This window comes from Homo sapiens, chromosome 7, assembly GCF_000001405.40.
Source record: "Homo sapiens chromosome 7, GRCh38.p14 Primary Assembly".
NCBI classification, from domain to species: Eukaryota; Metazoa; Chordata; class Mammalia; order Primates; family Hominidae; genus Homo; species Homo sapiens.
Window position 1 is genome coordinate 54992419 of NC_000007.14, and position 26566 is coordinate 55018984.

General features: G+C 41.9%; 1 long non-coding RNA gene across 3 annotated transcripts; it reads right to left on the reverse strand.

Annotated features, from left to right (window-relative positions):
• LOC105375284 (uncharacterized) lies at positions 1 to 26504 on the reverse strand. 3 transcript variants are annotated; one of them, XR_007060328.1, is made up of 4 exons: positions 2910 to 3619; positions 2311 to 2555; positions 1938 to 2039; positions 1 to 1390 (listed from the first exon to the last, which is right to left on the reverse strand). It is a non-coding gene; the product is annotated as an uncharacterized LOC105375284 (long non-coding RNA). The 3 variants fall into 3 exon arrangements; XR_007060329.1 differs by adding an exon at positions 24143 to 26504 and having other exon boundaries at positions 1241 to 1390; positions 2311 to 2994; XR_927272.3 differs by having other exon boundaries at positions 1241 to 1390; positions 2311 to 3619.

Genomic DNA, 26566 nt, shown 5'->3' on the forward strand with positions numbered 1-26566 from the left:
TTTCAAAATAAACTAGTGTTTATTGATCGTAAAGCAGTAAATACTCTTTAAACAAAAACATAAAAATGCAGAGAAGTAGAAAAAAGAAAACAATCACTTCTTAGTGCCATTGTACAAATACAACCATGTTTTTAAGAGTACATTTCTTTTCAGCGTTTTCCCTCTCTGTAAAGGGGTCTTGTTTTCAAAGTTGTCATTAACTCCATGTACAATTTATGTGATGACTTTATACAAAATGTCATCTTAATTATAAATGTCACAATAGCAATAACAAGGTTGGGCGTGGTGGCTCATGCCTGTAATCCCAGCACTTTGGGAGGCCGAGGCAGGCAGATCACCTAAGGTCAGGAGTTCGAGACCAGTCTGGCCAATGCGGTGAAATCCTGTTTCTACTAAAAGTATAAAAATTAGCTGGGCATGATGGTGGGCGCCTGTAATCCCAGCTACTTGGGAGGCTGAGGCAGGAGAATTGCTTGAATCCAGGAGGTGAAGGTTGCAGTGAGCTGAGATTGCGCCATTGCACTACAGCCTGGACGACAAGAGCAAAACTCTATCTAAAAAAAAAAATAAAAAAAAAAATAACAATGACTACCATCTGTGGAATATTTTCATGTCATAGCTGCTTTATATGCACCAACTCTAATCCACCCGATCCAATGCAGGAAGTGAAATTCTTTCTCATTGTAGTGACTACAGTAGTCCTATGTGAAATATGTAAGTGTATTTCCAGGGCCTCCACAGGTTCACTTGTAAATTTAGACTAGCCTTAAAAATGCCTTATTTACCCACAAAGACAGCACTTCCAAGCTGAAAGAGCAACAACAGTTGCTGGTGTGCAATCTCATTTTTAAAAAGAGAGAATTAGGGCCAAAATAGATTACGCAATTTGCTCAAAGCCACACAGTGACCCAAGGTCTTGGGGTCAGCCTGCCCTAAGCCTGTTGATTGCTCTCTAGGGCTTTCTACAACTTCCACCACCTTTCAATCAGTGCCACTACAATTAGCTTTCAGTAGGGGAGGCTGCTTGGAGCTTTCTTGCCCCTCATACCTCTTCCCAGTTCTTGCTAGGGAGCTCTCTGGAAAGCTATAACAGAAATATAGTATACATTATGTAAATATTCCTTTTCTGTCTTGAATTCATACATAGTTCCTGCCAGAGAGATGCAAATTTGTCCTAAAACTCTCTTGGGCCCTCTTTGGGGCTGAAGTCTTTGTTTTCTGAAGAGAAAGACATTTTCTGTAATTTTACCACACAATGAGAAGAGCATTTTAATAACAAGAGCAAAATCATCTCAAGCTCGCATTTCTCCCACATTCTTCTGTCTCTCCAGTAGGCCCTGGAGTGGAGTGATCTGAAGCAGGGTGGCATTCTTGGGGTAGAGGATGTAATCTACAATGATAAAAAAGGACTCCTGTGTTAGAGATACTATAACAAAGAGGCAAGAAACACAATCACTCCTTTTTTTTTTTTTTTTTTTTTTGAGATGGAGTCTCGCTCTGTCGCCCAGGCTGGAGTGCAGTGGCGCTATCTCAGCTCCCTGCAAGCTCTGCCTCCCAGGTTCAAGCCATTCTCCTGCCTCAGCCTCCCAAGTAGCTGGGACTACAGGCACCTGCCACCACGCCCAGCTAATTTTTTGTATTTTTAGTAGAGACGGGGTTTCACCGTGTAAGCCAGGATGGTCTCGACCTCCTGACCTCGGAACCACAATCACTCTTGATTCTCTTTAAAGACAAAATCATTTTAGAATTTGCTTCCCTTTTACCCACCATCAAACTCTCTTGTGGGAGGGGAAAGTTAATTTCAGTTGAAACAGTGACATCCCTGGAAGATAAGTTGCTATAAAAACACTCTTCTTCTGTTCCTTCTCCTGTGTGCCCAGTCAAGCTGAAGGTCAAATACATGGAAAAGATCTCCAAGTTTCTAAATCAGTGCTTACCAAGTAGCCATGCACTTGACAGGAGAGATGAGACACTTGCATATTTTTCCACCCCATTTCCTTTTACATCAAACACAATGCTCCTAAGCTGGGGTGTCTGTCCTGGAGAATGCAAAGATAGAGATCCTCATTTGGGTGACGAGGGAGGAACACCTTATCGCATGGGAGAAGGGGCAGTCATCAGTGGAGGGACAGAAAACCACATCAGATAGAGAGCTCGTCAGTCCATTTGCCCAGGGCTCTCCCAGGCCTACAGTGAATCCCGTACACCCTAGGGCCCTACAGATTTTGGCCACCTAATTTACAAAGGTAACCTGTGTCATAATTGCTTAGGATTGCACAGCAACACCTCACTTGCCCAGAGGCCACTTACCTAGAACCTCACTTGTCCAGAACTTAACCAAGATCTCAGGAACAAAACTGGTCTCTGAGAAGTTTAATGAGTGCACTAGTACACAGCTCAGGCTCTGAAGTTTGGTTTACGACACTCACAGGAGAGACCTCATCCAAAGCCAATGTCATCCTTATGTAATTCTAACCAGCACAATTGTTAGATTTCTCAGCCACAAATAGATTAGAAATCTCAAGTGTTTAAAAGGTGATGATTGACTTGCTCACCTGGCAGATGATGAAAAGGAAAGAAAAACATTATAAGTTAGTGAATGCATAGCCACCCAGATGTAGAATCAATGTAGAGGCGAATACACCTGCACCTCCGTAGCTTCTCGGGGGTCTCCACAGATAGCTCCATCTATCAATGAATGCCAAGAAGGACGACTGCCCTTGGTTCCATCATGCCCTTTAGATAGCAGCTTATACATCAAATTTTCAGAAAAACCTTCCTCCATGGCTTCGCTTGAAGCATCCTGAGGCCCTCATTCTGTTTCTCAGCCCCTGCTGTTTCCTTCCCAGTGCCTATCACAGTTCACAGTCATGTTCTTCATGACTCTCCTGTGTTCCACACTTGCCTACCTCCCGTGCATGTGGCACGTGGCCGTGTCCTTCTTGTTCATGGTTGGCTGCCCATCCGAGCTCTGTGCTTGTCACATGGAAGGTGCTTGATAAATAAATGTTGGATGAATAAAGAAATGTCACTGAGAAGCATTTACATTCCTTGATTACAATACATCACTTTAGAAATACTCATTTCAATCTACAAATGCTCCACAGAAAGATAGATACAAGGACATTCATTTATCAGAGGGACAGGAAAGGTGGAAGGAGGTAACCAACATTGATTGAGCAACCATCATGTACCAAGAGCTTTAATTTTCACAATGATATAGTAAAACAGGAGTGATTAGGTCTCACTTCACTGAGGAAGAAACTGAGGTTGAGTAACTTTCCAGTTTTATGCAATTAGTGGTAAGCTGAGCTGAAGCCTGAGCTTCACATGCCATGACTTGGATGGGTAAGCTTCAATTACTCTCACTTAAAGGCTAGCTCATGTGTTGTCAGGGATGCTCAGTGGGCCAGAACCAATAATTGGGTTCCAAAGGGAATAATTAAGATTGGAGCAAAACCTTGTAGATTGGGGCTGAGTCAAGTCTGAACGTCAAAACAGAGAGACCAGGTTCAAAGAGCAGACGTGGAATCATAAAAACATAGAATCAAAAGACAAGAGTCCCATAAAAACAGGATCTGAGTCAGTCTTCAGCCCACTTAAATCTTTCTTCCACCCCCAAACTTTCCCAAAACAGCACTCACTAAGGTCACTAATGACTTCAACATAATCAAATCCAATGGGTAATACTTTATCTTTCTCTTCCGTGGCTTCTCAGCAGCATTGGCATTCTGAGCACTTCCGCCTTTGTGAATCATTGTTTACCTTGGGCTTCCCCGTCTTCCTTACCTATCTGTCTGCTTCATCTCAATCTTACTTGCCACTTCATCCTCCTCCACCTCAGTCATAAATGTGGTTTCCAAGATCAATGTGAGACTTCCTCTTTCTCTTTCTCTCCATCTCTCTCCTCTCCCCCTGCATCCCCCCTCCCCATAAACTCATTCATTCTCCTGACTTTAAATATTATTGACAGATTGATGACTGTTTAAAATTTTATTTTCCATCCTACACCACACCTCTGAGCTTCAGACTTGATTTTCTTACTGCCTACTTGGCATTGCTTCTTGCATATTTCAAGAGAAGCCCAAATGTAAGGATTTCCAATACAAATTCATCATCTTGATCCTCATTTTCTTCAGTAGTCCCAACTTGAGAATGAGCCCATCTACCCACTTGTGCCAGCCAGAAATGCAGTATGCATTCTCATTATCTCCCTCTCCCTCAATCCTCAGATGTAAACCTATCCATTTAAAACTTCTAAGCTTCTCTAGACTTTGCCCATATCTCTTTCTCTCTAGCCACCATCCTGGTTAAATAAACTATCTGTTTTGTTTTTGTTTTTGTTTTTTTTCCAGCAGAACCACCCCTGATTAGCCTCTCCACCTCCACTCTTGCGCCCCCCCAGTTCATTCTCTATGTTGCCAGGAGAGACATCTTTTTAAAATATAAATCTGATTACATGATCCCACTAAATATAGAATAAAACTTCAAGTTTTAACATGGTCTATGTGTCCCTGCATGATCGACTTCTGCCTTGACCCCTGCTCAATCTATGAGACTGGGGAGTGACAGGTGGGTTCCCAGCTCCAGGAGTGGTGAGTGACCCACTCCTGGACCATCAGAGCACTCTGCCATGGAGACAGACACCACATCCAAGCCAGACCAATGGGACTCAATCTCGGTTCTTTGCGCTGAGTGGGAAAGAGAATTTCTCCTTCCCCTTTCCCCTGCTGAGTGGGCCAGAAGCTCATGTGTGATGCTGCCACCCTCTTGCCCACACAGTATGAAAATGGAGCCGACACACAGGAAGTCAGTGGGGGCAAGTAGAAAGATGCCAGTGGATGTAGCTCAGTGCTGGCACCATTGAGCTTCCAGGGCAGGGCCACAGACTTTCTCTCTAAGGGGCCAACTAGTAAATCTTCTAGACCATGTGGGCCATGCGGTCTCTGTTGCGACTCCTCAGCTCTGTTATCCTAGCATGAAAGCAGCACAATGTGTAAACAAAAGAGCAGAGCTATGTCCAATAAAACTTTGTTTATGGACGGTGACATTTGAATTTTCACATGCTCTGAAAAACTGTTCTTCTGTTGATTTTTTTCCCCCAACCATTGAAGAGGTGTAGGAACCATCCTTAGCTGGCTGGCCCTCCATCAGGCAGAGGCCAGATTTGGCTCACAGGCTGTCACAAGCTGCACCTGCCACTCGCTCTAGGCTTTTAGAAATGGAGCCTGTAAATTCTCTCTCTCTCTCTCTTTTTGGCTTAAGCCAATTCTGGATATTTTGTTTTTCTGTCACTTGTAAGTGAAAGAGTCCTGAACTTCTTATTCTTCATGTTTAGTATCTGGGATTTAGTTTCCCTCTTTTCTTTGCTTAAACAGCTAAGAAATCTAAAACAATCAAACAAACAAAAACTAATAGAAATGAATGCTTAAGCAATCTTTTCACATTTGCTAAGATTAAAAAAAAAGTTTGATAATACCTTAGCTGGTAAACTGTGGTGAAGCTGGGACTGAATGCATGTTTCAACACTAATATGAACAATTCATACATAGAAACACCAAAACAGTTACTTATAAATTTACTAACTTAAAAGCCTGAAATGTGATAAAAAGAATTTATTTTAAAATGCTATATTTGTTTGACACTGTCAGGTTGAACACCCATAACTAGAAAATATATTAGACTTTACTAGTAATATTTTTGTCATTGCCTTAGGTGGAATTTATTACCAATGCAGAATACATAGTTAAAAGTGTTTTCAACAATACTTTCATTCATTTACCCCAAATTCAAGTTGTCTGTATCAACTCTCCATTTATCTTTCTTTCTATCCATTACCTCTTTTTTGGTCATTAAGTTGGTTTGCAGTATTTTAAAAACTGATCTTTTAGTTTAAAGTAAGGAAAATGAACAAATAATTCTGATAAATTTATCTCTATGCCAATAATTAACCTAATACAATCTACAATATTGAAACACATGCTTAAAATTACTTTTGATAAAAAAAATTTATTTTCGTTGCCACAGTGCACATCCTGAAGTGGATTCAGATGTGCAAACTCATGATGAAAGGAGATTTAAGTCATGTACTGAAAAGTTAGCAGAGCATTAGCTTTAGTATTTGGACTATTCCTAAATAATAGCTTTAATAGTATACTCAGTGGGCCCAAGGATACATTTTTGTGGATCCTGAAGTTTTTTCCATATTGGTCTCAAAAATTTAGAAAGTTACCAGCAAGGAATATGTCCAGTTTCATCTTGACCTCACCAGCATTATATAAACATATATTATATATATAACATATTTACATATTTATATATATATTACTAAAAAATAATTTAAGTTTCCTCTTCTCTGTTTCCTAAGAAAGAAAAATATTTTTAATCTCTATTTGTTTTACTCCTATTTGAGTTAAACATTCACACTTTTTGTCCATTTTTTATTACGATCATTATTATTTGAGACAGGATCTCACTCTGTCACCCAAGTTGGAGTGCAGTGGTGCAATCTCAGCTCACTGCAGCCTCCACATCCTGAACTCAAACCATCCATCCTCCATGTCAGCGTCTCAAGTATCTGGGACCACAGGCACCCACCACCACGCCCAGCTAATGTTTTTGCATTTTTTGGTTTCACTATGTTACCCAGGCTGGTCTTGAAGTCCTGAGCTCAGGCAATCCATCTGCCTTGGCCTCCCAAAGTGCTGGCATTACAGATGCGAGCCCCCAGCCTCGTGTCCATTTATTTTGAGGCCGTTTGCTTCACTCTTCACTGTCATTTATAATTTGGTTTAGATTATTCTCTTGTCATTCTCTGCTATCTTTTTCCATCATAGCTTTTTAAAATATATGAATTAGGCTCCATTTACTTTTATATTTTTATATTAGATAGGTGTTAAATATCTTTTAAATACCACATTGACTTTAAGCCCTCTCAAATAGATTACTGTAATTTATATACCTAACAAATCAAAAATATTAAGGCTCCTATTGGATTGGTAATTAACATTGTATTATGTGTGCACTTTTTCTAATCTCTATTAGTTTAATTGTAAATTCTGACATCTCTGTGATTTTTATTTCAACTACAGCTAAACATTTAAAGTAATTTAATTAGCTTTTTTATGAGAAATAGGCAGTGCAATTTCATTAGCATTTAGTCTCCCCATGGTTTTCCAAGAAGTCTGAAAAAGTGCCCCCATCCCCACCCAAGAAGAGAAATCGGTATCCAATTTTAATTTACTAATTAATACCATGGTTTCCATCTTAAATAAGGTGTAGGCAAGAGACGTACACTTCTCATAAATTCTAGGTGACTTGTATTCTTCATCAATCAAATATATTTGACTACAAAGTGATAGCCACTAGGAAATAACTTTCTGTTGTTTCATTTCATGCAGGTTTAGGCACGGCAAAGAGATGGCAGGGCACACACCTTCCTGAGGCACACCACGGTTATCCAACCAAACCTACTTCCAGATCTTACCTAAAGGGAAACTAGTCAAGGCCCGAAACACTGAAGAAAAGCATCACTGTGCCAAAGTTTTAGAGTCTGATGAGATAAAACACTATTTAGAGAAATGTGTCACCACCTTCTTTTTTAACTAGTGGTGAATGGATAAACAAAAGGCAGTATAGCCACACAATGGAGTACTATGCAGCAGTAAAAAGAAACAAACTACCAATAAATGCAGAAACATGGAGGGAAATTATTGAGCTGAGTGACAAAAGCCAAACACAAAATGCTTCATACTGAATGATTCTTTTTGAAATCTAGATTCTTTATGAACTTATACAAAATACAAACTATTCTGTAGTGACCTCAGATAGATCACTAGTTGTGGGAGGCCACCGGCAGAGGCAGAGAGTTTTGCAAAGTAGCATGGAAACCTCTCTGGGTGATGGAAACATCCTGTGCCTTGATTGTAGCAGTGCTCATGGTGTCACAGCACAGTGAATGGACACTCTAAATAATGCAGCCTTTTGCTTGTAAACTATACCTTGATTAAGTTGAAGATAAATGGCTAATTAGTACATGAACAAAGCTTGATGCCATTAGACAATAAAGAAATGCAAAAACAAGATAAAACCATTTCATGCCTGAAGTTTATTGCATAGAAATTTATCTTAATTTTAAAGGTGCAGATCTTTTAAAAAGAATATAAATAAAAAATTTTTAAACTAGAAACAAAGCACTCAAATTCTACTTGCAAATGTGTGAAATTGTATTACAGGTTATTCAGTTAGCATTGTATGGAAATACTTTAAGTGTCCTTCAGTAGGAAGCCAGGTAAATAAATTAGCTTCAACTTAATGGAGGTATAGTTACATACAATAAGCCAGATCTATTTAGAGTGTCCTACATAGACAGATAGATAGATAGATAGATAGATAGATAGATAGATAGATAGATAGATGATGGATAGGTAGAGAGAGAATGTGTGTGTGAGAGAGACAGAGAAAGAGAGAGAAAGAAAAAGAGAAGAAACAAAGAAAGAAAAAGAGAGGAAACAAAGACAGAAAGAAAAATAAAGAAGGAAAGAAAGAAAGAAAGAGAAAAAAAGAAAGAAAGAGAAAGAGAGAGAAAGAAAAAAAATACTGGGCAATAAATAATGAGTAACACTTAAGTATTGATATGGAATGAGCTCCAGGATATACTATTACATATTTTTTTAAGTGCAGAAATAACAGTGTATGTATAGAGACTATCTCTGGAAGGACCCGTCTATGGTTTGAATGTCCTCTCCAAAACTCATGCTGAAACTTAATTTCCAATGTGGCAGTATTAAGAGGTTAATATATTAGATTAATGAATCAATGTGTTATGATGAGAGAGAGGCTTGTGGCTTTATAAGAAGAAGAGGAATCTGAGCTAGCATGTTATGTAGCACGCTCAGCCCCCTTAACATGAGATGCCCTGCACCACCTGGGGACTCTGCAGAGGGCCCCACCAGCAAGAAGGCTCTCAGCAGATGCAGTTCCCCAACCCTGTACCTCCCAGCCTCCATAAATGTAAGAAATAAATTCATTTTCTTTATAAGTTACTCAGTTTCAGGTATGCTGTTATAAGCAACAGAAATCAAACTAAAACCCCCAAGGAGCTGATGAGCGTGATCATCTCTAGTGATGGCTGGAGATGGGATGGGGTTTTTCACTGTACAGTTTTAAAACTAATTTCAAACCAAGTGAATTAAGTATTCAAATTGTAAATGAAATTAAATTAATAAAACATGTGGACATAAACAGAAGCAGGTGACTTTTCTCAAGGGTCCGTCTCATTCACCGTTTCTAAGGCAAGCCTTGGTAGTGATGCCTGCCAACCACCATGTTCCCTTCCTCCTCCTTCCTGGCACTCTCAGACACTCTGCTTTGATGCCCACCCCTTCAGTACCCTCACTCCCCATTGCAGTCGCCTGATCTGCAGAAGCACTATCCTGCCATCCTCCTTCCACAGACACCTTTCAGATCCCTGGCACAGCAAACTTTTCTCTTGATGTCTGCCTAGGAAAGACATGGAAAAAAAAAAGACATCAATGGGAAGGCAATATGAAGATTTAATATTATAAGGAGGTACAGAAAATATATTGTAAAGATATCAACATTCCTAAATATTCCAATAGATTATTAAAATTCCAACTAAAACCCCACTCAAATCAGACTCTTTCCTCATCACTCCCATGAATCTTTTCCTTGATAAGGACACCAAGGATATTCCATTTGCTGGAATCCACTGACTTATCTGCAGCTTTGGATAAGGCTGATTAATGGCGGCTTTTCCCCTTTCTCTAGGACAATCACATCCCTCCCTTTTGGTGCCTCTGCTCCTTCCTCATCTCCTGGGTCTCTTCCCCTCGCAGGGCTCCAGGGCTCAAGACTCGATTCTCTTCTCCATGCCCTTTATATTCTCATCTAATCTCTTTATGATCTGGCTTAATCTCAAGACTTTAAATAGCAACTGTATATTAATGATCCCAATTTTTACCTCTTGCCTGGAGCTCTCTCCTGAAAACCAAGCTCATATATTCAACCACTTGCTCAATACCTCCACTTGAAAGTCTAAAAAGTACCTCAAACACAGGAGACTCTTGGGTTTTCTCCTTCCAAACCTCTCCTCCCTCTCTGTTTTTCATCTCAGTGAAGTCTCATCACCAAGTTGCTGTTCAAAACCTTGGAGTCACCCTTGGCTTGTCTGTCCCTCACGCCCCTGATGTGATCTGTCAAGAATTCATGTCAGCTCTTTCTCCAAAGTACAAGCAGAATCCAATCACACCTCTCTGCCTGCTCCACAGCTGCAAGCCAGTCCTGTGTCTCACCTGAACTATTGCAGCAGCCTCTTACCTGCCTTCCTTTCCTATTGGACACAACTGGAAGAAGGATCCCATTAAGACCAACTTGATGATGCATGACACTTGTCTGTTACAGTCTTCCAATTTTTTCTCATCTATTTTTTATTTGTTTGTTTTTTGAGACAGGGTCTTAGCTCTGTCACCCAGGCTGGAGTGCAGTGGCATGATCATGTCTCACTGCAACCTTGGCCTCTGGGGTTCAAGCAATCCTCCTTCCTCAGCCCCTAGTGTAACTGGGACTTCAGGAATGTGCCATCACACCTGGCTATTTTTTTATTTTTTGTAGAAACAGGGTCTCGCTATGTTACCCAGACAGGTCTCAAATTCCCGGGCTCAAATGATCCTCCAGCCTCAGTTTCCCAAAGTGCTGGGATTACAGGTGTAAACCACCTCCATCTATTTTTTAATAGAAGCTGAAAACATTACAATAGCCTACCAAGGCCCTACAAGACCCCTCCCCTACATCATCCCCTTTCCCCCCCTCCCATTCCCCCCCCCCCCCACTGAGCCACACTGGACTCCCTGCAGTTCTCTAGGTAAACAAGGTAGAGTCCTGCACACCGGGAAGGCAGCTCCTCCCAGACACACGCAGCCTTCTCGTTTAGCCCTTCCCTGAGCATCTTATTTAGGAGGTATCCGTCTCTGTTCCCCTTCCTTCATTTTTCTGCATAGCACCTATCCCATAATATCTATGAATACTGGCTGTTTACTGACAGTTTTTTACCCACTGGAATATGTGCTGGGCACTATTTTAATAATTTGGGGTTTGGACAGCAAGCAATGCCAAAGTCCGTCAACCATGTTCACGAATGCACCTAAGACTGAGGCGTTCATTACACAAACGAAACGGCTTCACCTCGAACTGGAACGAGCTAAAGGCCATCTCCCACTCACTTTTCTCCCTAACCCCAAACAAGACCTAGAAACAAGGCAAATGTCTATTCTGCACAGGTCCACACCCCACATCTCCTGTGAGAGGTGACAGATCAATGAGCATTCGCGGCTTTCTTGAGTGGGACCAGAAGAGAATCCAGGCTACCTCTGGAGATAAAAAGGACTTAGTGGCTTCTGTGAATGAACAGCCTTGAGGACGCAGCCTCCTGAGGTGGCTCTTGGGTCAAGCTAACAGTCTGTTCAAGGCAGAGGTACTACTGCTGTGCCCTGGGTCAGGCAACATGCCAGAACCAGAACCCTGGGCTTGGAGATGATGGGGAAGGCGGTCCCGCAGGGGATTCGGCCTGCTGGAGTTCGCCAGCGAGCAGAGGGTCTGCATCCCCAGAACAGGCTTCCCACTGTTCCACCCCCTGAGCAGCCTTCGGTCCTGTGCAAAATCCAGCACTGACCAGCGCTGGTCCTTGAAACTGTCCCATGACACAGAATTTATCTTCATATTGACCTAGAGCTTGGGGTCTTTAGGTCTCCTAAAGCCAAGTAAAGGCCTTGCCTGAGTGAACACAGCCAGCTGAGCTCCCTGAGGCCCTGCAGTGTGGAGCCGCCAGCGTGCGTGTGGGCAGCTTCCCTTCCCGGCCCTGCAGCTCAGGGGCGAGTGTTTCCTCTGGAAGATGGGAGCTTCTCAGGGAAACTCGAGCCTCCGTGAGGTCGCCCTCGGATCAGACGGGCTGTGGAACTGAGTTTTCGGGCTCCTGTGGGGCACTTCTCTGAGGACCTCTTAGCACTGTGTCAAAGGACCAGGTCTGCCTATTCACACTTCTTGGAGAATGAGTTAAATCTGGTGGCTTGGAGGGACGTTGGTGTGTCCCCTCCTACGAACCCAAGGATGGTATTTCCTGGATGCACTTCTGTGAGCCCCGCGCAGCCAGAGCAGGGGGTCCAGGTTCGCCGCGGCCGCGGGGAGCAGGGCGGGCCTGGTTGAGGCCCGCGCGGAGGCCCCGAGTCCGCAGGAGGGACCACTGTGCCCGGGCAGGCTGGCCAGGCGCCCTCGCTCAGTCCGCGGAAACCCTAGCTCAGAAAGACCCATTAGAGAGAAGGAGAAGGCGATCTCAGGGCTTGGCTGCGGAGTCACCGTGTCAGAACCTGGCCCTGACAGTGGGGCTGGGCGCTGAAGCCGCTCCTGCGTCCCGGCCCCGAGGGCTGAGGCACCTGCCCTTCCCTGCCGCCCACGGTGGGGAGACCCCAGCCAGATTCCAGGGCGACTTGTGCGACCGCTGGCTTCTGTGCCAGGTGCTGGGCAAAGCCACTGCAGACCACCTAATAATTAGAAAAACAAATTCTAGAAACATCCCAAATTCAGAAAAGGAAAGGACGCAAAAGCATCCAATACCCCTGCCCCATCCCGCAGAAATCAACCCACCCTGGCCAGTGAGGCCTCCAAGTCCTCAAATAAGACAGAAAGATTTAAAATAAATAAACAAAAAAGTTCTGGGGCGGGGGGAGGGGGAGAGCCAAACTGGTAAGACAAAGCAGTGAGAAACCGAAGCTTATTAGCAAAGGCCGGGTAAAGAGCCAGGCAGTGAACTCTGGCCACATCGGAACTCACTGCCTCCCCGAGCACGGCCTCGGAGGCTGAGAGGCCTGGGAGGCAGGGCCGCGTCCTGCGGGCTCCACGAGAGCCCTGTGAAATGCCAGTCAGATCCTGGCCCAGTGCCCCAGGTCCTCCCGCAGCCTCGGCAAAGCCCTCCCCCGGCGCTGGAAACCTTCCCCTGCCAGGCGCAGAAGGCCGCGCGCAAGCACGCAGCTCACAGTCACCGCCACCTGCTCTGAAACCCCAGGTTCAGCGCAGGATCAGAGTCCCCCATCCCCACCCCACGCGAAGGGACGCAGGATTGACAGCGACCCTGAAGAAATGCAGTCGAGAGCTATTGTGAAAGGGCGCTGGCCCGGAGGCCCCCCAGCCCGCGCAGGACAGGCCAGTTAATCGCCTTGGTCCCAGGCCCCTATTAGCGTGTCCATCTGCGACAGCAGGACACGCCTTCCCATGCCAGCCGCTTTGGGGCCCGTGCGGCCCTTTTTCCCTCGCAGCTGCTGCAACAAATAGCAGTTCTTTTGAGGGAAGGAACAGTGTGGTCCTCAAAGTTCATAATGAGAAATCTTGGAGAAAAGTCATAGTTGCTAAGCTGCGCCATTGGAGGCTTGAAGGGTTCTTCTTAAAAAAATTAATGACTAATTCTATGTTTTGATTGTTCATATGACGACTAATTAAAGGAGAAATCTAATGGGCTGGACTCCACTTCAGGCTTTTTTTGCTCTATCTGCATATATGGAGCTGCTCACAAAACTTTCAGGGAAAGGAAAGAACAGTAACCCTTTAAGGGTTTTATATAGGCAACCTTTCAGCTGGAAAAAACGCCTGTGCAGAATGGTTCTGGCAAGAATTCACCACGTGCCGGGTGCTGTCCCTGCATTATTTCAAGCCAGAGCAATCCTGTGTACAAACACGTACGCCAGTCCACAGAAGATCACACAAGGCTGTTGCTTGGAGAGACTGAAAAAATATCATGTGCTCAAAGCCACAGTTAATGGCAAATGGCCCTGGCATTTTTGGGTCCCTGTTCATTTGGATACTCCATGTTATCTCGCTCTCCTCTCCACAAATACATAGAATGAGTGTGTGTACAACGAACATATTATAGAAATATATAATGTATGATAATATAATGTATGTTTATATATTAAACAAAGTAATTTAATCTTAAGCATATATAAAATATACCGTTTAAATATTTAACAAGGGGTTGACTACCTTCTTGTATACATTAAGGTGTGCTGTGATATGATGAGTGACAAACAACCTGCACCTCCCGTGAGCCTAATGAGGGGGTGTTTCTCTCTCTACACACCCATCGTTAGAATGCCACCTACGAGTCCGGCCCAAGGGGCTGCTCCCCTCCCTCTGTTCCCAGGCTGAGGAGGAGGTCGCTGGCCAACAAGAGGGAGGAGGAAGTGACCTGGGGAGGCGTGGCCTGGTTCAGGGAGCCTCTGCCCCAGAGTGACAGGAGTCCTACCATCAGCAGGTTATGCAAGCCTATGGCGGACTTCCAAGGACCGCCAAGAACCATCCACCAATGGGGAGAAAAAACAGATGCTTCTGATCACAGAAGCAGTCTACGCTTCTCCTTTAGGCTACAATTAACTGGCCTCGGTGAGATTACTAAGAAGGAAAGGCAGCGCACACCTGCCAAATGATCTTAGCAGGTGACAAAACTAAATGCTACAATGTCAGAACAACTCCCTAATCTCCAGTGACACAGCAATTGCCCTAAATGCAGGCACTGAGGATTCCAATGCTTGTGTCACCACTAACTAGTTGTGTTTGACATTTATTTTAACTGTGGATAGCAAAACATCCTATTTTTTATGGTGTTGAGAAACCAGTGAAATTATTGATTATGGAAGAGTAGAAAGACTTTTCGTCTTACACATACACACACACACACACACACACACACATCCCTGGTTAGCTTAGGTGACCTTTTGTAGATTGACTGTAAGTTCTGCAAAGGCAGGAACTAGTGAGTGACCCCATATATCCTGCCACCTCTGGCTCTTGATAAATGAGTGTTGAGTAAATGCCATTTACTCCAACTCTGAATTTTAATCAAATAGCCAACAACCCTGAAAACTCCTATGTGTTTTATTTTATTAATAAAATATTATTTATTAATCCTTTGTCTCTTTGTGAAACAAGTAATTTGGACAAGGTGCTTACCTTGTCATCTAAAAAATGGCGAAGAACTATCTGTGAGGTCCCTCCCAGGTTTGTTTCAATGACTGAGGCTTTGTAAGCTCAGTCCCTTAAAAGTAACAACTGCAAGAATTTCTGCTGATTTTTTGGAGGGGCCCTAGAAACTCTAATTTTCCATTCAATTGCAGAAATAGAACACCAATTTGCTTTGGATTTCTCTAGCCCTGTCATTTTTAGCCTACATATTTTTGACCTTGCAGACCCTCCAGATTTTCTGCCATCTAAAAATGCCACTTGAAATCTAGCTTCTGGAGACCTCCTCTCAAAAGCGATTTATTTCCTTCTATAGTACATGTGGAAGCTTCATTCCCTCTGTTTATATTCCTTGTGAAAAAAAATAAATAAAGTGACACAATTTTCTCAGTTGGTGACCTGCCTTGAGTTTCTCCTTGGAAGAATATAAGCTTGAGAATAGGTCTTTGCTCCAGGACCTTTATTACATAAGATGAGACATAATTACAATAATTAAAATAATGAAATCAGACATAGCTAAAATGCTTCAAAATGTCTCTTTAGTTGTGTCCTAATAAGCACTCATTCTCACTTATTACAGTTTATAGACAAATTAGCCAGACAAAACTTGCTGCTTTGTAGGATTGGCAGTGAAGTTGACTCCAGCCACCTTCCTAAACCTCCATCTCCTACCCGTGATTACCTGCAAAGCCAACTCATGTTCAACTCATGGAACATGGTCATTCCACATGTACCATAAATTAATGGATAGATCCTTTTTTCTCTGTTCTGCAACAGAACTGAATTTGCTTCCAGAAATGTTTAACTGGTTTTTAGAAAGTCTGCCTATAAGGATAATCATGAGCTGTGATAAACATTTGTGCTTGAATATTACTCCATATTTGAAATAGGCAATTTAAAGAGATGTCTATCATGATATATAATGTATTATGGCATCTGGACAAAAACCTGTTAACAAAAACATATGTACACATATATGAGATGAGAGAGAGAGACGAATGAAGAAAGAAAGATAAGGAGAGGGGAAAAGCAGAGATAGGAAGCATACCTATAAAGTGGCACTATCATGATTTAACCACGGGGGATGAGTTACAAACTCTAATGCCTACAGTGACCTCACAGACCCATGAACAAGAGAATCAGGATGGCAGCTCCAGCGTGAACTGGAGATCAAATGTACCTCCTAAAGAGGACAGTTACCATTTAGCCACCTGCCATCTTCCATGAAAGCAAACACAGTTAGCCAACAATTCCCATTTTCCGAGAGAAACACAAAGTCTACAGTTTAAATGTAAAACCTTCTGATTTTTAAGTGTTGCCATTAATTAAACTAAAAGGAACATTGAATGGACTTCACAAAACTACATCTGTACCCTGAACTTGGTTTTCAGACCACCAGTTACAATCTCCAGGCTAGTGTTTCTAGTAACATCTGTCCCTGAAACAAGCTACAATACCTTGAACAAAATTATTTAAGCTCATTTGTAAAATTGTCACTAGGGGGGAAGCATTGTGAAGGATACAGAAACCTTCTATAAGATCCCTCTGCAAAGTAATTAACAAACATCTCAACGATGCTGAAACTAGCATTCAAACATGCAGTCATGTTTTTTTATTGTTGTTGTTAATTCATAAACTTTATTTTTAGAGCAGTTTTAGGTTCACAAAAAAGTTGTGCTAAAAATATAGAGAGTTTTTGTATACCCCTGTGCACACACATACATAGCATCCCCCCAAAAGTGGTGTCTTTTTACGACTGATTACCAACATTGACACATCATTATCACCCAAAGTCCATAGTTTATGTTAGGGTTCCCTCTTGGTGTTGTACATTCAATGGGTTTTTACAAATGTAAAATGACAGGTATCCACCACTGAAATATGGTATAGAATAGTTTATCAGCCCTAAAAATCCTCTATGTTCTGCCTATTCATCTCTCCTTCCCGCCAACCACTGGCAGCCACTGATCACCTTACCGTCTCCATAGATTTGCCTTTTCCAGAATGTCATATATAGTCATGCATCACTTAACAATGAAAATATGATCTGAGATGTGTGTCATTAGGTGAATTTGTCATTGTATGGTCATAACAGAGTGAACTTACACAAGCCAAAATGATATAGCCTACTATACATCTAAGTTATATGGTATAGTCTATTTTTCCTAGGCTACAGACCTATCTGACATGTTACTGTACTGAATACTGTAGGCAATTATAACATAGTGGTAAATATTTGTGTATTTAAACATAGAAAAAGTACAGTAAAATTATGGTATTATAATCTTATGAAACCACTATTGTATATGGGTGCCATTGTTGACTGAAATGTCATTACGTGGCACATGACTGCAGCAGGAATCATAAAGTATGTAGCCTTTTCAGATTGGCTTCTTTCACTTAGCAACATGCACATAAGTGTCCTCCATGTCAGTTCATGGCTTGATAGCATATTTCTTTTTAGCACAGAATAACAATCCATTGTCCACATGTACCATGGTTTATTTATCCACTCATCCACATGAAGACATCTTAGTTGATTCTAAGTTAGGGAAGTTATGAATAAAGCTGTTATAAATATTCATGAGCAGATTTATGTGGACAACAGTGTTCAACTCATTTGGGTAAGTATCAAGGAGAGAAATCATTGGATCATATGGTAAGAGTATGTACACTTTTATAGGAAACTGCTAAGCTGCATTCCTAAGTGGCTGTACCATTGTGCCTTCCCATCAGCAATGAATGAGACTTCCTATTGTTCCACATCCTCATCAGAATTTGGTGTTGTCACTGATCTGAATTTTTTCCATTGTAACAGATGTGTAGTGGTATCTCACTGTTGTTTTAATTTGCAATTTCCTAATGACATATGATGTTGAACATCTTTTTATATGCTTACTTGCCATCAGTGTATCCTCTGATGAGGTGTTTGTGTAGGGCTTTGGCCCATTTTTAAATCAGGTTATTTATCCTCTTATTATTAACTTTTAAGAGTTTAGTTCTTTGCATATTTTGGATAACAATCCTTTATCACATATTTCTTTTGCAAATTTTTCTCCAGTATATGGCTTGTCTTCTTCTCCTGGCATTGTCCTTCTCAGAGCAGAAGTTTTTAATTTTAATAAACTCCAGCTTATAAATTATTTATTTCATGGATTGTGCCTTTGGTTTTGTACTTAAAAAGTCATTGTCATACCTAAGGTCATCTAGGTTTTCTCCTACGTTATCTCCTAGGTGTTTTATAGTTTTGCATTTTACATTTATATGTATGATCAGTTTTGAGTTAATTTTTATGAAGTGTGTAAGGTTTGTATCTACATTCATTTTTTGCATGTGGATGTCCATTTGTTCCAGCAATATTTGTTGAAAAGACTATACTTGCTCTATTGTATTGTGTTTCTTTTTTGTCAAAGATCAATTGACTAAATTTATGTGCGTCAGTTTCTGATCTCTCTGGTCCATTGATATATTTGTCTATTCTTTCACCAATACCACATAGTCTAGACTACTGTAGTTGTATATGTCTTGAAGTCAGGTAGTGTTGATCCTCCAATTTTGTTCTCCAATATTGAGTTGGCTATTGTGGGTCTTTTGCTTGCCCATAGAATCAATTAGTCAATATTTACAAAATAACTTGCTCGAACTTTGACTGGGATTAATCTATAAATCAAGTTGGGAATAAGTGACATTTTGACATTATGGAGTCTTTCTGACCATGAACACAAACTATTGATCCATTTATTTAGTTATTTGATATCTTTCACCAGAGTTTTTTTGTTTTTTTCTTATAGATCTTATACATATTTTCTTATATTCATACCTCAGTATTCCATTTCAGGGTGTTAATGTAAATGGTAATGTGTTTTTAATTTCAAATTCCCTTAGTTCTTTGCTGGTATATAGGAAAGTGATTGGCTTTTGTATGTTAACGTTGTATCCTGCTCACTTGCTATAACTGCTTATTAGTTCCAGGAGCTTTTTTATTGTTTCTTTTGGATTTTCTAAGAGACAATTACATTATCAGTGAACAAACACGATTTATTTCTTCCCTCCCAATCAGTATTCATTTTATTTATTTATTGTGTGTTATTGCATTAGCTAGGACTTCTAATACAATGTTGAAAAGCATTGGTGAAAGGAAACATCCTTGCTTTGTTCCTGATTTTAGCTATAGGTTTTTGTAGCTGTTCTTTATTAAGTTGAGGATATCCTTCTCTATTCTTAGTTTGCTGAGAATTTTTATCATGAATAGGTGTAGGATTTTGCCTAATGTTTTCTTCTGTATCTATTGATATGATCATGTAATTTTTCTTTATCTATTGATATGATCTGTTGATGTGATGAACTACATTAATTGAGTTTTCAAATGTTGAACCAGTCTTGCATATCTGGAATAAATCGGAGTTGGTCATCATGTATAACTTTGTTACACTTTGTTGCATTTGATTTTGTAATATTTTCTTGAGAATTTTTACATCTATGTTCATAAAAGATATCGGTCTACAGTTTTCTTTCCTTTCTTGTAATATCTCTGTCTGGTTTTGCTATTAAGGTAATTCTGGCTTCACAAAATTAATTATGGAGTCTTCCCTCTACTTCTAGTTTCTGGAAGAGATTGTAGAGAATGGATGTAATTTCTTTCTTAAATGTTTGACGAAAATCAGCACTGATCTCATCTGGGCTTGGTGCTTTCTGTTTTGGAAGGTTATTAATTATTTATTCAATTTCTATAGTGGATATAGGCCTATATTGATTGGCAATTTCTTCTTGTATGACTTTTGGTACATTCTATTTCAAGGAATTGGTTCATTTCATGTAGGTTGTTAAATTCGTGGGTATAGCTGTTCATAATATTCATTTATTATCCTTTCAATGTTCATGAGATCAGTAGTGATGTTCCTTCTTTCATTTCTGATATTCATAATTTGTGTATTCTCTCTTTGTTTCTTAGCCTGGTGAGAGGCTTATAAATTTTATTGATTTTTTGAAGAATCACTTTTTGGTTTTGCTGATTTTCTTGCTGGGATTATAGGCGTGAGCCACCACACTCTTGCTCATTTTTTCTATTTTTGTTTTCCACACTTTTTCTGCCTCTGTGGATTTTACACAGCATTTTGTATAATTCGATTTCCTCTTTTTAGCATAGCAATTATTTTAGTCTTTAACTTTTTAAAATCAGTTGCCCTAGATTTTTTTCTCCCAACATTTTGGGAGGCCAAGGGGAGAGGATCACTTCAAGCCAGGAGTTTGAGACCAGCCTGAGCAACATAGCAAGGCACTATCTATACAAACATAATTTTAAAAAGTCCAGGCATTAGCTAGGACTGTGCCTGTAGTCCCAGCTACTCAGGAGGCTGAGATGAGAAGATCACCGGAGCCTAGAAATTTGAGGCTGCAGTGGGCTGTGATCATGTCACTTCACTCCTGCCTAGAAGACAGTTAGACCCTGCCTCTAAAATAAACAAGCAAATAAATAAAAAGAAAGGAAGAAAAGAAGAGCAAGGGCAGCAAATAGAAAATAGTAATAAATATGGTAGCTATTAATCCAACTATGTCAATAATTACCTTAAATGTTAGTGGTCTAAATATACTGCAATGGACTGAATGTTTATGTCTCCTCAAAATGTATATGATGAAATGTAAGCTCCCAAAATGATGTTATCAGGGGAGAGTGTTTTTGGGAGGGGATTATGTCATGAGGGTGGAGGCCTTACAAATGGGGTTAGTGCTATAAAAGAGACCACAGAGAGCTGCCTTGGTCCTTCTGCCATGTGAGGGCACTGTGAAATTATGGCCATCTATGAAGAAGTGGGCCCTTATTAGACATCAAATCTGCAAATACCTTGATCTTGAATTTCCCAGCCTCCAGAACTATGGGAAATAAATTTCTGTTGTTTACAAGTAAATCATTTTATGTTATTTTGTTACAGAAGCCCAAAAAGATGAAGACATACACCAGATCACTCCATTCTCTTCTTGCTTGCATGGTTTCTGAGGATACGTTGGATGTAATTCTAATATTCTCTATAGGTATTTTCTTTATGGCTCCTCTACAGGTAAGGTGTTTTTTCCCTTTGGCTTCATTTAAGAATTTTTCGTTAACCTTTGATTTTCTGAAGTGTGAATATGTTATGCCTAGGTATCATTTGTTTGTTTGGGTTTTCTTGGCATATATCTTCCTGATGTTCTCTGAACTTCCAGAATCTGTGATTTGTTGTCTGACATTAATTTGGAGGAATTTTTGGTATTATTGCTTTAAATATTGCTTCTGCTCCTTTTTCTCTTTCTTTGACTTACAGTATTCCCATTACATGTAATTATCTCACAGTTCTTGAAAGTTTTGTTTTGTTCTTTTTGTTAGTCGTTTTTCTTTCTGTTTTTCAGTTTTGGCAGTTTCTGTTTACGTATCTTCAATCTCAGAAATTCTTTCCTCAAGCATGTTCAGCCCACTAATGTGTACTTCAAAAGTATTCTACATTTCTTTTACAGTGTTTTTGATCTCTAGAATTTTTAAATTCTTTCTTAAAACTTTCATCTCTCAGGAATTCAAGACTAGCCTGGGCAACATAGTGAAACTCTATCTCTACAAAACATTAGCCAGGTATGGTGATGCATGCCTGTAGTCAGAGCTACTCAGGAGGCTAAGGTGGGAGGATCACCTGAGCCTGGGAAGTTGAGGTTGCAGTGAGCCAAGGTCACGCCACTGCACTCTGGATTGGGCAACAGAGCCAGACCCTGTCTCAAAAAAAAGAAAAATTCCATGGCTCTGCTTACATTATCCATCTGATCTTACATGTTGCCTATTTTTTCCATTAAAACTCCTAGCCTATTAATCATAGTTTTTTTATAATTAATACTCCGATGTGATAATGTCTTAGTCCAATTACTGTGGTTATAACAGAATGCCACAAACTGGGTGATTTATAAACAAAAGAAGCTGATTTAGGCTGATTTAGAGGCTGGGGAGTCCAAGAGCTTGGTGCTAGCATCTGATGAGTGTCTTCTTGCTTCATCATAACATGGGAGAGGGCATCACGTGTGAAGAGAGCTTACTCTTATAACATAGCCACTCCCACAAGAATTAACCCACCGCCATGAGAGCCATGTGAATTCATTCATGAGGACAGCGGGTTAAGTTTCCAATATATGGACTTTTCGGGGACACATTCAAACCACAGCAGTTAGTTGTAACGTTCGTGTCATGTCTCATTCTGGTTCTGATGCTTGTGCAGTCTCTTCAAACTGCGTCTTTGCCTTTTAGTGTGCCTTGCAATGTGGAAATGATATACTGGGTAAGAGGAGCTGTAGTAAAGAGGCTTCTAGTGACGTAGTGACAAGCTGTGGGGAGAGGGAGTGTTGCACAGTCCTGCCGCATGTCACAGTCTTCCAGTGAGCCTGTGTCCCTGGACTGTGAACTTCATGCTTGCTTCTCAGCTTCCCCAGCCCCTTAGATGGTACAGAACTGTTGGAGGGGGGTGGAGTTGTATATTTCCCTTGCTCTGGGTAGGTCACCCTCTGATAAAACACCAGGTTAGGCCTCTGGTGAAATAATTTCTCCTGAGGGCAGACCTTCTATTAATAATAGAATGTTCCAACCTATTTCAAAATGGTTCCTCTTCTCCTTCCACTGCCAGAAGCATAATGAGATTTTCCCCCTAATATTCGTGGTAAGGACCTAGCAGAGCTCCAGGAGGTAACACTCTCAAGTGTCTCATACTACCCTGCACCATGACTGGGCTCTGCTGGAGTTCTTAATTTGCAGAACTGCCCACACTGAGCCTCCCGCAATTTCTCAATTACAGGGCAAACTTTCCCAGCCGGCACTGGGTCCTTGGAGGTTTCTGTCTGCTGGTTTCTTCCTCTGGAGGTTGTGCTTCTGTGTTTGCCTGTCTCTCCAATTTGGGGGGCAGTGGTTTGCCCAATGACCTCAATTCTCTGAAAGAGCTAAGAAGAGGTGTTAATTTTTCGGTTTGCTCAGCTTTCTACTTGTTGCTAGAATGGAGCGCCAATAGTGCCTCCTATAGTGACATGTAACCCTCAACTCTAGAGATGATGAAGCATACTAATGACAAAGGAGAAATGCTTCAGCAGTTTTCTGTCAGCACATTACCCCTTGAAAAAGCTGCTTCTTCCACATTCTGCAAGAGATGGGTCTCAACTCAGAGCTCAAGGCAAATGACTTCCTTCAAGGAGAAGGAATAAACAGTCTCAGAAACCATGAAAGCCTGCCCCCAGGAGTGTCCCTGAACCTCAGCAGGGGCCACACTTACCTTGCAGAAATAGGTGAGGCATGCTCCTGGTACAAAATCCCAATGGTACAGAAGGACAAATTGAAAAACAAGTCTCCCTCTAAACCCCTGACCCCGAGCTACCTAGTTCTCCTCCCTAGAGGCAAAGCTGTTACCAGATTCTTGTATCTCCTTAACATATATCCTTAGAAGAGCTGTCAAGTGAACACATGTTTAAGTGAAAACCTATTTTAGAAGTGCATTTTCTTAAGGAACTTTAGGGTTGGAAGGAACCTGTGTCAGTCCTTAATTCACAACCTCCATTAGTACTTATTGTTCTTGCACAAAAATCTTTCTCAAAAAAGCCCTTTCCACTCTGACATAGCTTATTCTACTTTTACTTAGCTCCAATAACTTATAAAACATATTTTTGAAAGTCTAAAATCTGCCACTATGTTTTTTTTTCCTAATCAATCTTTACTTTGACCTCTAAGCCAGAGAAAACAGGTGGTCAAATGCCTTTTGCCTAAGATGGAACTTAGAATATTTGAAGACCTCAGATCTTCACCCTGCCAAATAACGTGTTTCTCCTCCCCTTTCACAGAGCATTTGGTTTTAGGAAATTCAGAGCCACATTCCTTATAGACAAGACTAAACTCTTATTCAACATACTCAGAAACTTCTTCTAAGAGGATAACCACTCATCAGAGGAAAAAAGTTTCTCATGTACAGCTGGCAAAGGGATGGAACCATCTGTGTTATTAAAATTGACAGACGCTTATGAGATTTATTAAGGGAAATACTAGAGTCTTAGTACATACTTGCTAATATAGCATACATGAAGGCTTTATCTATAATTTTTTTGGCCAAGCAGAAATTTTGGTATTACTCACCCTAACAAATTTCCAAGACATTATGAAATAGAATTTTAGGTCCTGACATCACCATTTGTCTCAGGTTTTGAAGCGTTGCTGGACAAGAGGGGTAAAACACGGCTCTGCCTTGGATTCAAAGTTGGCCTCTCATACTAGCAAGTATACCTTGGTATCCTGGTCACTTCTCCCGGCCACAGCATCACATTGCTATAAAAGGCAGATACAAGTATTAACCAGCTCACAGGTTATCAGATAAGCTTAGTCTGACCAATGCTTAACACAGCAACTGGGCCACTATTGTCATTCCTGTGGTGGTGGCACACACACCCAGCCTCTGTCCGGGCCATGGTCTAGGACCACCCTCCACAGAGGCTGTGAGCTAGAGCCCTAACTGTGCAGGGCCCTAACTATGCCAGGCTACTTATCTCTCTTAAGAGGACTTCATTAGTGCCTGCTCGGCCATACAGTTTTTTACTTACCAAGTAACACAGTTATCAGCACACTCCAGGTACTAGCCAAGGACTACAAAATCAACGTGAATGTCAGCTTTTGTATCAAAAGCTCAAAGGAGAAACTCAAACTTTACATAGATGTCCCATGAAGATGTTCAGCAAACCCATTCTTCTCTGTTCCCTGGAATCCATCCCAGTATTGTGCTATGTGTGTGTCTAGTAATTCTTTACAAAAAGCTCTGTTTCTTGTGATGCTATCAGATCACATTGAAGAATATACAAGCCGTACTATGAAGGCTGTTGTCTCATATAGTCCTAACGTAGTGAGAACTGATGTTCTTACATGCTGTCTTTTTGGGCACTCAAAGAAATTCCTGTACAGTCTTACAAATCAGTTGTAGCTTAAATTGATTTGTGTTGTGACTTGTACACACAGGTCACATTCCCTTGACAGAAAATATAGTTTAAAACCAAATTTGCAGCCCTTGTTAAGTGAATGCACAGGACTTTATTGTATTCAGGTCTTTTATTGTAAGACTCACTCCTGTCTTCATTTTATGTTCCACTGTTGTGCTTCCCATTTGCCTTTCTCTAGTTTTGTTTTCTGTGTTTCTACGGACTGCTCTCAGCCCAGGTGTGCAGGAAGCACACACATGCCTGCAGAGCCTTCATGGCCTCTGCATTCAGGGCATGACTTCAACGCACAGTGGCTGTACTGATTTGTTAAAACAAAGGAACAGATTACTTCTCCTAATTCACAGGGAAGTTCCAGGTTGTGCGGGCAGTGAGCAGACCTGTGTCTGTCTGCGCTTGCCCTGGTGAAAAACCCCACCGTTCAGGCTGCAGGGTGCGAGACCCAGGCACAAACATTTTGCTGGATGAGGAGGAAAGATGTAAGGTTGCTCCCCTTCAGAGACAGCAAAGGGCAGGTCTGTAGCTTCACTTACTTCAGGATTGTGATTTTTGACAGAGCCGAGAGATCAGGGTTGTTGAACCAGGCCTGAAGGTCCTAGTGAATCTCGTGAAGAGAGGAGGGGTCTGGCTGTAACATGGACCTAGAGGACATTTTTACTGCAGGAGAAGGAACAGTGGGGATGGGGTGGACTTGCCAAAGGAATATAGCTCAAGTTCCTGCAGCCCAAAAAAGCTCAGTTTCTTTTGGCCAAAGCTTCCGCGAGTTTCCCTGGCATTTCTCCTGCGGGAGCTACAGGGGCAGTGGGACACTTAGCCTCTCTAAAAGCACCTCCACGGCTGTTTGTGTCAAGCCTTTATTCCAAGAGCTTCACTTTTGCGAAGTAATGTGCTTCACACATTGGCTTCAAAGTACCCATGGCTGGTTGCAATAAACATTAAGGAGGCCTGTCTCTGCACCCGGAGTTGGGTGCCCTCATTTCAGATGATTTCGAGGGTGCTTGACAAGATCTGAAGGACCCTCGGACTTTAGAGCACCACCTCGGACGCCTGGCACCCCTGCCGCGCGGGCACGGCGACCTCCTCAGCTGCCAGGCCAGCCTCTGATCCCCGAGAGGGTCCCGTAGTGCTGCAGGGGAGGTGGGGACCCGAATAAAGGAGCAGTTTCCCCGTCGGTGCCATTATCCGACGCTGGCTCTAAGGCTCGGCCAGTCTGTCTAAAGCTGGTACAAGTTTGCTTTGTAAAACAAAAGAAGGGAAAGGGGGAAGGGGACCCTGGCACAGATTTGGCTCGACCTGGACATAGGCTGGGCCTGCAAGTCCGCGGGGACCGGGTCCAGAGGGGCAGTGCTGGGAACGCCCCTCTCGGAAATTAACTCCTCAGGGCACCCGCTCCCCTCCCATGCGCCGCCCCACTCCCGCCGGAGACTAGGTCCCGCGGGGGCCACCGCTGTCCACCGCCTCCGGCGGCCGCTGGCCTTGGGTCCCCGCTGCTGGTTCTCCTCCCTCCTCCTCGCATTCTCCTCCTCCTCTGCTCCTCCCGATCCCTCCTCCGCCGCCTGGTCCCTCCTCCTCCCGC